Source organism: Homo sapiens, chromosome 2 (genome assembly GCF_000001405.40).
Source record: "Homo sapiens chromosome 2, GRCh38.p14 Primary Assembly".
Taxonomy (NCBI): Eukaryota; Metazoa; Chordata; class Mammalia; order Primates; family Hominidae; genus Homo; species Homo sapiens.
Genome location: NC_000002.12, coordinates 74,383,584 through 74,400,066, shown reverse-complemented (window position 1 = coordinate 74,400,066; position 16,483 = coordinate 74,383,584). Strand labels below are relative to the sequence as shown.

Sequence of the window (16,483 nt, the reverse complement as noted above, 5' to 3'; positions counted from 1 at the left end):
AAGGAGGGGTCAGGGTATGGAGTTTAAATGGGGGTTTAAGAAATTTGGCTCAGGGCTGGGGCCAGTTTATTTCAATATTTTGGGCAACCTAGATACCTTTAACAGTGCCTGGAAATGTTCAAGGCCCCAGTTTGGGTTCAAGCTTGCTGGGAAAAACCTGTAGCTGGCAGGGTCACAGAGTGACTCAGAAAGTTAAGGGGGTGGACTGGGAATCCCTATGGTGAAAGAGTGTGTGTGGTTGTTAAATATTATATCCAGCATTTTTAGTTGCAGTATATCAGAAGTTTCCGTAATATTTAGTCCACGGTAGCACCAGAAATGGAAGCACTTAATTTGTTCCTCTCTCCCTCCTTCCCTCCCTTTTTTCCTTCTTTTATTCTTTCCTTTCTTGCTTGCTTTTGCATTTGAATACCTAATTGTCCCAGCACCATTTTTTGAATGGTATATCTTTCCCTCACTGATCAATAATACAAATTTTGTCATATATTAAGTTTTTGGCCTGGTGTGGTGGCTTGCACCTGTAATTCCAGCGCTTGGGGAGGCCAAGGTACGGGAATCACTTTAGGCCAAGAGTTCAAGACCAACGTAGGCAACATGGCAAGACCCCGTATCTACAAAAATAAAAATAAAAAAATTAGCCAGGTGTGGTGATGACTGCCTGCAATCCTAGCTACTCAGGAGGCTGAGGCAGAAGGATTGCTTGAGCCCAGGAGTTAGAGGTTACGGCTATGATCACACTACTATATTCCAGCCTGGGTCACAGAGTGAGAACCTGTCTCTAAAACAATAATAATAATTTTAAAAAACGAAGTTTTTGTAGGTATATGTTTTAGTTTGTTTTTAGATCTAGACTCTTTCTATCCCTACGTCAATACTATATTGCTTTACTTAATAAACTTTAAAATAAGCACACACACACACAGCCACACTCTTTTTTTTTTTGAGATGGAGTCTTGCTCTGTCACCCAGGCTGGAGTGCAGTGGCGCAATCTCGGCTCACTGCAAGCTCCACCTCCTGGGTTCACACCATTCTCCTGCCTCAGCCTCCTGAATAGCTGGGACTACAGGCGCGCGCCACCATGCCCGGCTAATTTTTGTATGTTTAGTAGAGATGGGGTTTCACCGTGTCAACTGTCTTCTTTTTTTCAGAAGTTTCCTGGCTAATTTTTTGCCCTTTGCTTTTCTCTACAAAATTACTAATTTGTTGTCAAGTTCCTAGAATATCCTGATAGAATATTGATTGGAGTTATCTCAAATACATATTATTAATACAGGGCAACTAACTTCTTTATGACTTTAAATTTTCCTATTCATAAGTGTGCTATATCTCTCATTCATTTAAGCTACCTTTTTTTTTTTTTCCAGATGGACTCTCGCTTCTTTGCCCAGGCTGGAGTATAGTGGCACGATCCCTGCTCACTGTAACCTCTGTCTCCTGGTTCAAGCGATTCTCCTGCTTCAGCCTCTTGGGTGATTACAGGCGGGTGCCAGCACACCCGGCTAATTTTTGTATTTTTAATAAAGATGGAGTTTTGCCATGTTGGCCAGGTTGGTCTCGAACTCCTAACCTCAAGTGATCCACCAGCCTTGGCCTTGCAAAGTGTTGGGATTACAGGCGTGAGCCACAGGCTATCTTTAATGTATGTTTCCAAATATAATTTTGTAATTTTGGGTTGTGCACATCTCTCATCTCTCAGTCTTTTTTATTTTTTTGAGACGGAGTCTCTCTCTGTCACCCAAGCTGGAGTGCAGTGGTGCGATCTCGGCTCACTGCAGCCTCCACCTCCCGGGTTCAAGCAATTCTTCTGTCTCAGCCTCCCAAGTAGCTGGGATTACAGGCATCACACTCAGCTAATTTTTGTATTTTTAGTAGAGACGGGGTTTCACCATTTTGGCCAGGCTGGTCTCGAACTCCTGACCTCAAGTGATCTGCCTGCCTCGGCCTCCCAAAGTGTTAGGATTACAGGCGTGAGCTACCCTGCCTGACCACCCCACCTTTTTTTTTAAGACGGAGTCTCGTTCTGTCACTCAGGCTGGAGGGCAGTGGCACAATCTCGGCTCACTGCAACCTCTGCCTCCCGGGTTCAAGCAATTCCCCTGCCTCGGCATCCTGAGTAGCTGGGATTACAGGCGCGTGCCACCATGCCTGGCTAATTTTTGTATTTTTAGTAGAGACGGGGTTTTACCATGTTGGTCAGGCTGGTCTCAAACTCCTGACCTTGTGATCCGCCTGCCTCGGACTCCCAAAGTGCTGGGATTACAGGTATGAGCCACTGAGCCTGGCCGGGTTGTGCACATATTTTGTTGTTTATTACTAGGTGCATCAGTTTCATTTCAAAAATTATATAATTTAACTTTTCATTGTTGGTTAGAGAAATGCAATTGAGTTTTGCATGTTGATTTTATATCTAGTCACGTTGCTAAATATTTTCTAATCAATCCTAATAATTTACAGATTATTTTGGCTTTTTTTTTTTTTTTGAGATGGAGTTTTGCTTCTTCGCCCAGGCTGGAGTGCAGTGGTGCAATCTCGGCTTACTGCAACCTCTGCCTCCCTCCCAGGTTCAAGCAATTCTCCTGCCTCAGCCTCCCAAGTAACTGGGATTACAGGTACGTGCTAGCATGCCCAGCTAATTTTTGTATTTTTAGTCGTGATGGGGTTTCACCATGTTGGCCAGACTGGTCTCGAACTGCTGACCTCAAGTGATCCACCCACCTTGGCCTCCCAAAGTGCTGGGATTACAGGCGTGAGCCACTGCACCCGGCCTATTTTGGCCTTTTCCATGTAAGTCATCATATCATCTGTGAAAAATGACAGTTTAATTTCCTTCTTTCTAATCTTTATGTCTTTTATATACGTTTTTCTTGCCTTGATGCACTAGTTCAAATACAGTGTTGATCAGACTCAGAGATATTCGGCATCTTCGTATTCCTGATTTTAGAGAATCTAATGAGATCTTACATTCTTTTCAAGGATCTGTATTTGTTTTAACAAAAAGCTTTCATCTGTAGATTATTTTCTTTATGATTTCTACAGTGATTCACTTCTTTTTACTTTTGAAAATTCTTTTACTTTTTAAAATTGCATGGTCCTTGGTCGCCATTGTACTTTTTATGGTCGTTCTGGGTTATCCTACATTGTGGATTCTTCTTATCACACAGTTTTCAAGGAACCCCCAGGGGACCACCCTCATGCTGTTCCCTACCCCACCTCAGAAGGAAAAGGGGTACAGTAGGTCAGGCTCTCCCTAAGCCACCTTGTCTCCTCATACTCTACCTGTATGTTATAACAAACCAGGCAATGAACACACATGTGGTCCTTTCCTGAAGGGCCAGACCCTCTCATAAAAGTGTAACAAAGCAGGGAGAAGAAGGAGTGAAGCGCTATCTCTGTACTGACCAATATGGTAGCCCTTGGCCACATGTGGCCATTAAGCACTTGAAATGTGGCTAATGTAACTGAGAAATGGAATTTTAATTTTTATTTATTTTTAATTAATTTTATGTTTAAAAATGTATACATTTAAGTATTCAGTTCAGTTATTGGAAAATATGTTAAAATGTTTGAAATAAGTTGCATACCTGAATCTACTTTTCCAGGCTGAGCCTGGTGGCTCAGGCCTGTAATCTCAGCTTTGAGAGGCCGAGGCAAGAGGATCATTTGAGGCCAGGAATGCAAGGCCAGCCTGTCCAACATAGAAGGACCTTATCTCTGACATGAATGAATGAATGAATGAATGAGTAAATAAATAAATAAATCTACTTTTTCAATTGTAAATTTTATGTAGTCTAAACCAGATCAAGGATGTCCCATGAAAACTTAGCATCTGAATAGAGATGTACTATAAATGTGCAAAATACAGATCGCATTCTAAAGACAGTGCAAAAAAAGAGAATGTAAAATGCCTCATTTTTGTATTGATTACATGTTGAAATGACAATATTTTGAATATTCTGGTTTAAATAAAGTATGTTGTTAAAATTAATTTCACCAGGCTGGGCAACATGGCAAAAACCCATTTCTACAAAAAATATAAAAATTAGCCAGGCATGGTGGCATATGCCTGCAGTCCCAGCTACTTAGGAAGCTGAGGTGGGAGGATCGTTTGAGCCTGGGAGGTGGAGGTTGCAGTGAGCTGAGATCATGCTATTGTATCCCAGCCTGGGCAACAGAACAAGACCCTGTCTCAAAGAAAAAGAAATTAATTTCACCTTTTTTTTTTCTAACTTTTACAAACTGTCGCTACTAAAAAATTTAAAATTATATGTGTGGCTGGCTTATATAAAATTTTATCTTGGCTCGCACATGTAATCTCAGCACTTTGGAAAGCCAAGGCAGGAGGATCATCTGAGCCCAAGAGTTCAAGATCAGTCTGGACAACATAGTGAGACTCTGTCTTTCCAAAAAATTTTTAAAAATAGCCAGAAACGGTGGCCTTTGGTCTCTCAGCTATTCTGGAGGCTGATGTAGGAGGATCACTTGAGCCAGGGAGGTTGAGGCTGCAGTGAGCCATGATAGCGCCACTGCACTCTAGCTTGGGTGGCAGAGCAAGATCCTGTCTTTAAAAAATTAAGTTTTCTCCAGAAATTTTCTTTAAAATTTGTTAACCTATTTCCCAACTAAAAACAATTTTAAAATTTACATTTATGTCTATTGGGCAGTGCTGGTATAGCTAATCTAGATGCTTCTCTCTCCCACACATGTCCTCCCCCATGGCTTTGTCATCTTTGATTTACTCTCTATTGATTCCCCTCTCCAAGCTTTTCAGTCTGAAAACCCACCTTCTCCTGGAAAACAGCATCCCTTTCCTCAGGGGGAGGATTCTCCCATGGATTCTTCCCCACATTCTATAATGCCTAGGATTTCACCCAGGTAAGCACAGATGTTCTTCTCTGTTCAGCATCACATGTTGGGGGGAAGGGCTCTAGTTATGTGAACAGGAGTTTGGGGGTCCTTGTTCAGGTTCCCCATTGGAGGAAGCCAAAGGCAGCCTGGATCTCTTACAACAGCACCTATGAAGAAAAACACAGGACAAAGACAATATTAATTTTCCTTGAAGACCACTCAGCCTAATCAAATGTAAAAAAAAATCAATATTTCTCCTATTAGCACGTCCTGTCCTTATGATTCAGTAGGATCCCTTTCATGATGCTGAGAAACATTTTGGTCTTTCCTGAATCACCACCCCCATCCCACCTGAGGCCTGGCAGCTTTATATAAAAAACTCAACACACAGGTTTTTTTTTGTTTTTTGACAGTCTCACTCTGTCACCCAGGTTGGAGTGCAATGGCATGATCTCTGCTCACTGTGCAACCTCCGCCTCCCGGGCTCAAGCGATTTGCCTGCCTTAGCCTCCCAAGTAGCTGGGATTACAGGTGTGCGCCACCATGCCTGCTAATTTTTTTTGTATTTTTAGTAGAGACAGGGTTTCACCATATTGGTCAGGCTGGTCTTGAACTCCTGGTGTCAAGTAAAAACTCAGCACACAGGTTAAATGTTAAAGTCACTCAGAAGGAGATACATACAGTAGTTGCTGTGTGTCCTTCAGGGATTGGTTCCAGGACACCCCTTGGATACCAAAATCCATGGAATGGCATAGTATTTATATATAACCTACACACATTCTATCATACACTTTAGTTTTTTTGTCAGATCATCATCAGTATTAGTTTCTTATAGGAGCACGAACCCTATTGTGAACTGCACATGCAAGGGATCTAGGTTGCTTATTCTTTATGAGACTCTAATTCCTGATGATCTGTCACTGTCTCCCATCACCCCCGATGGGACTGTCTTGTTGCAGGAAAACAAGCTCAGGGCTCCCACTGATACTACATTATGCTGAGTTGTATAATTATCTTATTATGCATTACAATGTAATAATAATAGAAATCAAGTACTCAATAAATGTAATGCACTTGAATCATCCCAAAACCATTTGCCCAACCCAGTCTGTGGAAAGATTGTCTTCTACAAAACACGTCCCTGGTGCCAAAGAGGTCGGGAACTGTTTCTTTAAATAATCTCAGGTTATGTATAATACCTAATACAATGTAAACACTTGTTATACTGTATTGTTTAGGGAATAATGACAAGGACAAAAGTCTGTACATGTTTACTATAGACACAACCATCCATTTTTCCCCTAATATTTTCAATCCAAGGATGGTTGAACTCACAGATACAGAGGGCCAACTGTGTTTTATTTATATATAACCTACACACATTCTATCATACACTTTAGTTTTTTTGTCAGATCATCACAGAGGGTTTTGTTTGCTTACATGTTTGTTTTTGGTACAGAAAGGTGAAAAAGTTCTGGAGATGGATAGTGGTGATGATTGCACAACAATGTGAATGTTCTGAGTGCCACTGAACTTAAACATGGTTAAAATGGTAAATTTCATGTTATGTATGCTTTACGACAATTAAAAATATGTATATGCAGTATCTTTTAAAGTCTTTATATTTACTTTTTATTTTTCTTTAATTGAAGGAGATGGAAGACATTTCTACTAAAATTATAGATACATTTATTATTTGACCAAGATGTATCCTAGAGATATGCCTGCTCACATTGGAATGTCATTATGTTCAAAGTGATTCATTGCAAGATTGTAATACTAAAAGACTGGAAATAAAGTATGTAACTAGAAGAAACTGGTTAATAAATTATGTGTATCCATGCAATAGAGTACTAAGCAGCTGAAAAATGAGGAAGATCTCTAATTTATTGATTTAGAAAGATTTTCAGAATAGATTAAGTGAACAGAACTTATGCCAATTGTATCTGGCATGCTACATTTGGCATAAGAAATGGGAGGAGTAAGACTATATATTCATATGAGTTTATATTTGCACAAAACACTGAAAAGATAAACAAGAAGACACTAATAAGCATTATCTGTAGCAGGCAAGGGGGATGGAGTCGATGGGAACCAGGGTTGAAGGGAGGTTTCTCTGTGTATATTCTAAAATAGTGTTCTGATTTTTGAGCCATGTAAACGTATTATCTATTCAAAATAATAATTATAAATATTTAGAAGGTGAAATAGGGAAAAGGGGGGAGTAATAAAGGGGATACTCAATGCATCCCTTCTACTGCTTACTGCCCCTTACAGCAACTTTATGAATTTTTCAGTTTGTTTTAAATCTGAGATTAACTGAAATAAATATAACATTACAATAGTTATATTTCCAGCTCTTTACATGGATTAACTTAATCCTTCTAACAACATAATGAGATAGGTACCATCATTTACATTCTCACTTTAACAAATAAGAAAACAGAGGCACAGAGAGGGTAAATAAGTAACTCTAGATTTCACACGGCTAGTAAATTGCAGTTAGAATTTGAACCCAGGCGGGTGCGGTGGCTCATGTCTGTAATTCCAGCCCTTTGGGAGGCCGAAGCGATTGGATCGCTTGAGCCCAGGGGTTCGAGACCAGCCTGGGCAACATTGTGAAACCCCGTCTTTACAAAAAAACAAAAAACAAAAAACGAAAATTAAAAGGGCATGGTGGTGCGCGCCTGCAGACCCAGCTACTACGGAGGCTGAGAGGTGGGAGGATGGCCTGAGCCTGAGAAGTCAAGGCCGCAATGAGCCATGATTGTGCGTGCTACCGCACTCCAGTCTAGACAACAGAGCGAGACCTTGTCTTAAAAACAGAAAAAAAAGAATTTGAACCTATGTCTAAAATTTTAAAATGCCATTATGTAAATTTGTATTTTACATTCCCATCATAAGCGCATGAGAATGCCTGTATCCCCATATGACAGGTAACACTGAGTAGCAGCAACATTTAATTTTCTCCCCCAGGCTAATGGAGGAGATATGGTTTATCGCTATTGTTTTAATTAGCAGTTTAACACTTGCAAATAAGTCCTCCAGCCCTTCTGCGCTTTCTCCCCTCCGCCGAAAGAGGGCGCTCGCCACGACACGCCGATTTCTTATGGTCCTAATCGGCTTCCCAGGCACAGTGCGCGTGCGCTTATCCTGTCCCAGGTGTCCAGCTTTGTGCCTGATTGATGTAATCCCGGCTGCGGTCGGTGCGCAGTTTTCAGTCAGGGCTGGACTGCGGGAAAAGAGGGTTCACTCGACCCAGAACGCCTCTGGGCCTCTGGGCCGAAGGGTTCTGGGCGGTCCTGGAAGGGTCTGGCGGCGAGTCGGGCAGCCCACGAGGGCGGGGAGGGCGGGGCCGGCCCCGCAGGGTCTTGGGCGTCGGTCGTCGGTGGGGTCGGAGCTGGGCGCGGAGCCCCTCACAGTGCAGGTACGGAGGCGCGACTCTGCCAACCGTCTGCTCCGCCGGCCCCCTACGTGTTCGTGAGGTTGCCGGCGGTGGGCTGGGGACCGAGCCCGGTGTGCGGGGCGGGGACTGGCAGGGGTGGGCGCTTGTCGGGGTCCGGGGGCTCCGCCTGAGCGTTTGCCCCGAGGCCGGTCTGACCCACCTCAGCTCTTCAGCCTAGCATTGTTCTCCTGGGATCAGAGTGACTGCGCCTTAGAGTTCCTCCAGAACTGCAAGGGTCTCCCCTCCGTTCCTGCGAGCGTCTGAGGCGCCCCTGAATCCATACTGAGCTACAGGTTTCCTGTGGGCACATGGTTGAGAAATTCGTCTCAAACGGGGAGAAAAATCGTAAAGGACTCACAGCATGGGAGTCTGGATATGACTTGTGTGTGTGATCCTACTCCTGGGGTCCGCCTTAGCTGGCAAGATGATCCTTGAGGTCATCTTGCGCATCCCTTGTCTTTAGACAGAACCACAGCTAAATCACACAGATAAGGATCTCTGCTGTTTCAGAGGCAGGGATTTGAAAACTTACCGTCATTTATTGCAGTGAGGAGAGCAGCAAACCCATGTTGACCACTGGCTACTCAGGTATACTTAAGGTACCGAGAGGCGAAGAGCTAGGAGGTAGAGATTGACATCCTTTACTTAATGTACTGCCAAAGCCTAAGCTATGAGATGTTAAAAGAGATAATGATAACTTTATTTTTAAAAAAGGCATTTTGTTTTCGAAAGCTGTTGGAAAATTCGTGGTTAAACTTTACTACAGAATATTGCAGAGCCTTTAATATGCTAATAATATTTACCATGAATCTCCAACTGGGGGTATGGTATGTAGAATTTTGAAAATTTTACTAGGATATACTGTTATTCTTGGGTGATGCCTCTGGCTAACATGTGGGAACCGTTTGGGAATTGGAGTTCCAGAATTAGAAATTCAGGATTTAGAAGGGGCAGTATGGGTCAGTGCGCTTTGAGTTTTAATGGCGTGCACATGTAATGCGATCTCGTTACAGTACAGATTCTGATTGGTTCTGCATTTCTAACAAGTTCCCAGGTGATGCTAATGCTGCTGGCCCATGGAACACAATCTGAGTAGCAAAAGTATAGATCACTGGATTGAAAGTTAGAGACCATGTTTTCCAGAACAGATGTGCTGCCTTGAGAGAGTCACTTTATCTGTCCAGGCCTATAAGGTAGGAGTCTGGACTACAAGATCTCAAATATTTCTTTCAGATTTAAAATTCTGTGAGTCTAGTCGAGTTATCCCTGTAGTGTTGAATTCTATCTGAAATATTCTTGCCAATTTGGCAAATTTTGCAGCTTGGCTTGAACATTTAAAATAATGGGCAATTATCTGCATATAGGGCATCCCATTTTATTCTTGGAATAGCTCAAGAAGGAAGTTCTTCATGTTGCTGAAATACATCTCTGCAACTTCCATGCTGTTGGTCCTAGATTATCTCTTAACAATCAAACAGGAAAGAAGTGTTACCCGTCTTCCTAAAATGTTGACTCCAAGTATTAGATGACAGCTGTGCCTACTATGATTTTTCTAAGCGGAATTGTATTTAATTCTTCCATTATGTTTAAGAAATCCCTTTCTTAAATTTGTCTTTGTTCTCTGTGGAGTGTAGTGGGGCTTTGGCTGGACTTTGAAGGATGGGTGTGGCTTGCAAGACTAGAAAAGTATCTTAAGCAGTTGACACTGGTGCAGAGATGGGACTGCATCTGTTGAATCCAGGATTGTTTGATTATAGTAAGAAATGAGATTATCAGTGAAAGATGTCGGGCAGATGGGTGTAGGGACAAAGCAGTATTTTAGCAGATGTATGTGCTTTACTGTGATGTATAAGGTGGTTGGAACTAGGGAAGGAGGGGGAGACGGAGCTGGATAGGCTTCACATAGCAATATTAGACAATTTAGGTTGATAATAATAATGCCTTATATTTATGTATGACACTTTACAGAACTTTTCACAGGCATGATTTCATTTGATCTAATATTCCTACGAGGTAGGCAGAGCAGCTGTTATGCTGTTTTGTAGATGATGCACCAAAGAGGGTAAATGATTTGCCTTAATTTTCAAAGCTATTACATGGCAGACTGAAGTAGTGATAGTGATAATGGAGGAGAAAGGAAAGATGCAGGAGGCAGTACTAAGGACGAATTGATAAGTGGGGCCTGACTGACCATGAGGGTACAAAGGAGAAGAAGTTGTTAGGGAGGAGTCAAAGTAGTTGGGTGAATCATAATACCATTGAGAACTGCCACTCTAGGTTTTACTCTGCCAGCTCTATCATTGCTAGCAGCTGCTTGGAGTTATAGGTTGAAAGGGATTATAGATGATTCCCAGGTTGCTTGGCCTGTCTACAGCTACTAGGTGATACTGGGGGCACTTGGGCTATCTGTCCCATACCAAGGAAAATAGGAACTCGGTCCTCAGTGTCCCCTGAAGATGTAAGAGCTGGAATATTGCCAGATTCATATCTATATTAAGGTCCTTGCCATCCTGGAGACTCTGACTTTGGCTTTGTATCATTTTCCTTTTGAGATTCAGGCTGATGTTAGTTGAATGTGATCAAGGGACAGGTTAGCTATTTAGTCTGGCCTCCCCAAGGGCTTCACTACAGCAGAGCATGGGCCCTTGCTGCCCCAAATCCTTCCTAATGCTGTTTCCCAGGAGATTTGCACCTCACCTAGAGCTGTCTCTGTGGTTCTTTTACCCTGAAAGTATACAGGATTGAGATTTAGTGTCACTACCAAATTCCATAGGACCTAGGGCTGTTCCTGCACTTTTAGTTTCTTAGGCTTCTGTCTGGAGTGGAAAGAGCCATGTTTACTGAGGGTTAGGGGAGAGATGTGTGTGTGCGTACATATGTGCACATAAGTGGTGATTTCCCCAGTGGTGGTGGTCTTCAAGAGTGGAGCTACTCTCAGGGAAAGCTGTCAGAGCCAGTTTATATCCTGAGTGTGATGTTGGTACAGGCATCTATTCAACATTGAATACCTTCTCTTTGCAAAGCCCTACGCCGAGTGCTTAGATACTGAGATGGATACAATCCTCTGTCCTGGAGGAATTCATAGTAGAGTAAGAGATGATATTTTAAATAGAATGTGGTATTGAAATGGAGATATGTCTCAAGTGCTCTGTGAGCACAGAGGAGGGAATGATTAGCTCCACATGGAGAAGCCAGGAGAGTCTTTAGGAAAGAGGTGAGAATTGGGCTGAGCCTTGAAGGATGAGGAGGAAGAATTGTCCTGGTGACATTTGTAACATTTGCAGATGCATAAAGGGAAAGGCAGATAGATCCAAGTGGCTGGAATAAAAGAGAACTTTGGTGATTGATGCGACCGGATTCATAATGAAGCCATGTTGTTTTATTTTGTTTTGTTGTTTAGAGATGGGGTATCACTATGCTGCCCAGGCTGGAGTGCAGTGGCTATTCACAGACAAGATCATCACGCACTACAGCCTTGAACTCCTGGCCTCAAGTGATCCCCCTCAGCCTCCTGAGTATAGGTGGGTCTGCAGGCTGCTGTGCCAGTTTGAGGCCAGTTTTTTGTTTTGTTTTGTTTTTGAGATACAGTCTTGCTCTGTCAACCAGGCTGGAGTGTGGTGGTGAGATTTTGGCTCACTGCAACCTCCTGAGTAGTTGGGACTATAGCTACTACAGGTGGGACTACTTAGCCTCCTGAGTAACTGGTACTATAGGCATGCACCACCACCACACCCAGCTAATTTTTGTATTTTTAGTAGAGACAGGCTTTCACCATGTTGTCCAGGCTGATCTCAAACTCCTGGCCTCAAGTGATCTGCCCGCCTTGGGCTCTCAGAGTGCTAGGATTACAGGTGTAGCCACTGTGCTTGGTCAAGGCCAGGTTGTTAATGGCCTGTAGTGCAGTGCTAAAAAGATTTCATTTTGTGGGCAGAGAAGCCACTGGAGACTTTTAGGCAGGAAGATGACATGATTGTATTTTGGGAAGCTAAATGTGGAAATTGAAGGGGGAGAACCTGGTTCAGGGACATCGGGAGACTCTTGTAATATCATAGACATGGTTTAGGGCTGAGCTAAGGATTAGGTCAGTGGGGATAGAGAGGACAGGATGAATCTGAGAGAGACTGGAGAAACAGAATTAACCAGACATAATGACTAAATTGGTTGTTGAGAACAAGAGAGGGAGTTGTTGCGGATGACTCAGTTTTCTATTTTGAGTGGATGGTGGTGCCAATAGCAAAGAGAGAATATAGAAGAAGAACTTTTTTTTGTTTGTTTGTTTTTGGTGGGGGAGATACCAAGTGTGTTTTGGGTCATATTGAACTTGAGGGCTCTGTGGCAGTTAGCAGACAGTGAGATATGAGTCTGAAGTTCAGAAGAGTTTCTGTCTAGGGGCAGTAAGTATGAGTGGTAGTTGAAGTTGTGGGAATGGTTGAGGTCTCCCAGCCACGCTTACAGAAGGCTGAAAATAATGACAGAGGAGATGAGAAGGATTGACGTGCAAGGGTAGGAGAGAATGTTGCCCAGGAAGCTAGGAAAGGAGAAAATTCCAGGAAAAGGATTGACAATCTCAGTTGCTACAGGGAGATCAAGTTAGGATGAGCTTGGGAAATGCACCTTGAGGTTGTGTAGGACATTGGGGTCACCAGGGCTCTTTTAAAGTGTGAGCAGCTTCAGTGGAGTGGTAGGGATGGAGCCAGATAGCAATGGATCGAGAAGTAGATGGGAAGTGAAGATAGAGAATGTGTACTCACTTTGAGTAGTTCAGCAGAGAAAGGAAGAATACAGAATGGTGGCAGCTTGTGGAAGAGGTAGCAGGGACTTGTTTTTCCTAGAATGGAAGTCTTGTTTATGGGTTTTCTGATGCCATGTAAGATCCAGTAGACAGGGTGCAATGAAGACACAAGAGAAAAGACGATTGCTAAATCAAGTCCTCAGAGGAGAGGGGAAGGGGTGGGCCCTGAAAAGAAGGGGATACCATTTTCTTTAAAGAGGAATGTTGGAAGAAAGGAAGGAATTTAGGAAGAAAGAGATAATGACATATGCATGCAGATATATCTAAATTTTCAAAGAAATTCTTACCTAATAGGGCCAGTTTTCTTTTTCAGCAAGGTTATCTGCTGAGAGGTGGGAATGCTGGTGTTGGCTTGGGTGGGAGTAAGGACTTGAAAATGTAAAGGAAGCTTGAAATAACTGTTAAGAGGAAAGAGGAAGACAGTGGAACTGAAATAAGCTCCAAGAGTGTTGAGTACCCTCTGAACTGAAATCCTACACTATAAGCCTCCCCTTCATCTTTCTCATAATAATAATGGCTGACATTTATTGAGTGCTTTATACAAGGCACTGTTCTAAGTGCTTTTCAGGCATTCTCATGTGATTTTTACAACAATCCTGTTAGAAAGTTATTGTTATTATCCCTTTCTTCCAGAAGAGGAAATTGAGGCATAGAGGATTAGTAGCGCTTGTATTTGATGAATCTCTTACGTCTGCAGAAATGGATTCCTTTTCCTGAGGCATCAGAGAAGACAGAAATTTAATCCCAACTCCCGGTTTCTGAACCTTGAGAGCCTAGAGTCTAGGGTTGCTAAGGAGGGAATCTTACCATGCCAGTTTGTGGGCATGATGGTGGCATGGAGGGGGCAGGACAGTGGGATCACTGTTGCTGTCAGCTTTTGACAACTACATAGGGAAACTCGGATATTCTTGAGTGATTTTTCCAGCATCCTGACTAGAAAGACAAGTGACCGATAGTGATTTGTCAGGTATTGTGGGCTGAGATTGTGTCATCTGAGAGGTGAATAAGAAGAGAGACCTTGTCCCTGTTCCTATCACCTAGAAAAGGAGAATTTTTTCTTGGCAGAGAGACAGGCAGATCTAAAACCTTATATAATAACATAATGATTATTAACTCACCTTATGTGTTTTCTCAGTTTGTGTGACAGATACAATTTGTAGGTAAGCTGTATACCTGACTTGAGTGAAAGGAGAGAGTGATGGGATGGCGTGGATGGAAGAGAAACGGACTTACCTTTTCCTGCTGCAGCCACTGAAGCATCATCTCTGTGTCCTTCCTTTTGAGGTTGCCATGGATACGCCTTTGCATGGTGGTTTGAGGAGATTGATTTCCATTATGATCAGATGATGACGTGGGTTTAAAAAGAGAAAGGATGGAATGCTCTGCTTTTGGGGAGTGGCCGGCGAGCTGCCCAAAAGGCAGAGCCCAGTACAGCCGATAGGGCTGTGGCTTTGTTGGCTGCTTTGGCTTTTGCTGAAGTTGTGAAATGGTGCATCTCTCTCTTTAGAGCGCAGGCTCAGGGTTCCCTGTCTACAGGGTCCTAGTGCCAGGAACTTGCTGGTTGATTCAGGGGGAGGAATCAGCAGGAACTTCGAACAGCCTAAGTAGGACTTCTGATACCACTGAGAGGATTGAGGTTCTTGAGTGCAGGGCTGAGTGCCTCTTGCCTTCTTGCAGAAGTTCCTATATTGAAGATAAGTGAAGCATATAGCATAGCTTTTCTTCTTGACTTTTAGAGGTCTGGGCCCTTGGAGGTGGGCCTGGAAGTCACTGGATATTTCTGGGGAAAGGGGACATTTTGAGATGGAGTAGAGCTGCATTCAGAGTGGGAGTGGGTTTGTAGACGTTTTTTTAGGGTAATGAGGAGCTGGAGAAGGGAAGGAAGTCCGTTGAGTGTGTAGGCCTTATCTATGAAATCCGCAAGGCAGATACTGAGTAGGACCTAGGAACAAAAAGCTCTGTGTACGTTGTCTTCTGGGGTCCTGTGAATATCTGGAATCCAGCTTTCCAAGCTTCCAGTCTCCCAGCCTCCATTTACCACTCAGTAAGCAGACCTTTTCCTTTCTGACTCCTGAAGGACTTAGGTCCACGTTTATCTCTTCCTTACTAGTGCTTTCAGAGATGTATAGTTTTGCCTTGCTGTCAGACTGCCTGGGTTTCAGACAAGCTCCTCTAGGAGTGGGAAAGCAGGGAAAGCAGACAGTTGGGTTAGCCCAGGATCAAGGTTTGATAAGGTGAGACAAGAGGAGATCAAGGTATCAAAGGATGCTGGGGTGCCAGTAAAAACAAGGTAGAAATGGTTCAGACAGGGGAGAAATGGTAGAGGTGGAAAAGAGGCTTTTCCTCCTCACTTTCTCCTTTTTCATTCTCCAAAATCTTATTTTCCTATAATTTCCTGAAATTTCTCTAAGACTATTGGCAGACACAGAGATTATTATTTATCAGACACAGAGATTTTTCCCCTCCTCTCTTCTCATTTTTCTAGATATTTTAGTGGTATTTAATATCATTGGAGAGGAAAATGGATTAGAAATCCAAGAGGTGTCTGTCTCCTCCCTGGCTGGGGTAACATTAACCCAGGATTGTCCTATGGGATATGGGCCTGGGCCCGGTAATGCTGTGGAAGGAGCACCTACCTGTAGAGATATTCAGATGTGCCCCTCTGCCATTTTTTGGCTATGAGACTTGGGCAAGTCATTTGACTTCTGAGACATAGTTCTGTCATCTGTGGAATGGAGAGAATGGAATCTGTTTTGGCTACATCACAGGTTCATTTTTGAAGGAGATAGTGAAGTACATGTATTCGTGTATGCAATTAAGTTTTCCCCAGAGAAGGCCCTAAGAACAGGACGCATTTTCTCTCTCCTAACATGTTGTTTCTCCTCCCATTTTTTTCAGTTCTGTTAATGTTTCAATTATTACATTTCTCATGCTTGAAAACTCCTGAGTGTATTTATTCATTTACTTATTCATGCATTCATTGACCCATCTATTTATCCTTGCAGCATTTGAGTTCCTACTGTGCGCAAGTCATCGTGGATATTCCCTTAAAATAATGAATGAAGATGATATCTACCATTTGTTGAGCACACAGACATTGTGCTAAACGCTTTACTTAAATCTTATTTAATCTTCAAAATGTCCCTGTGAGGTAACATTATTTCTTCCTTTTTGCAGTTGAGGTAACCGGGACTCAGGAAGTTAAATATCTTGCTCAGAGGAGAACCAAAGGTATATTCAGGTCTGTCTCCAGAGCCCATGTAGGCCTGCTGCCTCTTTCCTCATGTTTGATCTATTACAAGGCCTTCTCAGGGCTTTTTTGGTACTGTCTCTGAACTGGCCTCTTTCTTCTCCTCCTGATCCTGGTTCAAACCTTCCTTACCCTGTGTCAAATGTTGCA

At 42.9% G+C, this 16,483-nt stretch overlaps 1 protein-coding gene and 1 long non-coding RNA gene across 8 annotated transcripts in view, besides 4 other annotated features; one reads left to right on the top strand and one right to left on the bottom strand.

Moving 5' to 3' along the window:
• Window positions 1–1,398: 1,398 nt before the first annotated feature.
• DCTN1-AS1 (DCTN1 antisense RNA 1) lies at window positions 1,399–14,564 on the bottom strand. Of its 4 annotated transcripts, none has more exons than NR_158172.1 (4): window positions 14,317–14,564; window positions 8,824–8,908; window positions 8,452–8,589; window positions 6,186–8,078 (listed from the first exon to the last, which is right to left on the bottom strand). It is a non-coding gene; the product is annotated as a DCTN1 antisense RNA 1 (long non-coding RNA). The 4 variants fall into 4 exon arrangements; NR_024463.2 differs by having other exon boundaries at window positions 6,186–8,073; NR_158174.1 differs by lacking the exons at window positions 6,186–8,078; window positions 8,452–8,589 and adding an exon at window positions 1,399–5,013.
• Window positions 7,009–7,550: an enhancer, noted in NCBI's record as "H3K27ac-H3K4me1 hESC enhancer chr2:74619644-74620185 (GRCh37/hg19 assembly coordinates)". NCBI's record gives its function as "activates a minimal SCP1, AML or CMV promoter by ChIP-STARR-seq in naive H9 embryonic stem cells {active_cell/tissue: H9 hESC(naive)}" and the evidence as "EXISTENCE:reporter gene assay evidence [ECO:0000049][PMID:30033119]".
• Window positions 7,551–8,093: an enhancer, noted in NCBI's record as "H3K27ac-H3K4me1 hESC enhancer chr2:74619101-74619643 (GRCh37/hg19 assembly coordinates)". NCBI's record gives its function as "activates a minimal SCP1, AML or CMV promoter by ChIP-STARR-seq in naive H9 embryonic stem cells {active_cell/tissue: H9 hESC(naive)}" and the evidence as "EXISTENCE:reporter gene assay evidence [ECO:0000049][PMID:30033119]".
• Window positions 8,201–16,483, top strand: part of DCTN1 (dynactin subunit 1) — a 30,712-nt gene continuing 22,429 nt past the window's right edge. For all 4 annotated transcript variants that reach the window (NR_033935.2, NM_001190836.2, NM_001378992.1 and 1 more), the window contains exon 1: window positions 8,201–8,273. The gene's annotated coding sequence lies outside the window, so the exon portion shown is untranslated. The remainder of the gene's footprint in view (window positions 8,274–16,483) is intronic.
• Window positions 8,262–8,441: a silencer, noted in NCBI's record as "silent region_11658". NCBI's record gives its function as "represses an Ori minimal core promoter by ATAC-STARR-seq in GM12878 lymphoblastoid cells {active_cell/tissue: GM12878}" and the evidence as "EXISTENCE:reporter gene assay evidence [ECO:0000049][PMID:35858748]".
• Window positions 8,652–8,701: an enhancer, noted in NCBI's record as "active region_16054". NCBI's record gives its function as "activates an Ori minimal core promoter by ATAC-STARR-seq in GM12878 lymphoblastoid cells {active_cell/tissue: GM12878}" and the evidence as "EXISTENCE:reporter gene assay evidence [ECO:0000049][PMID:35858748]".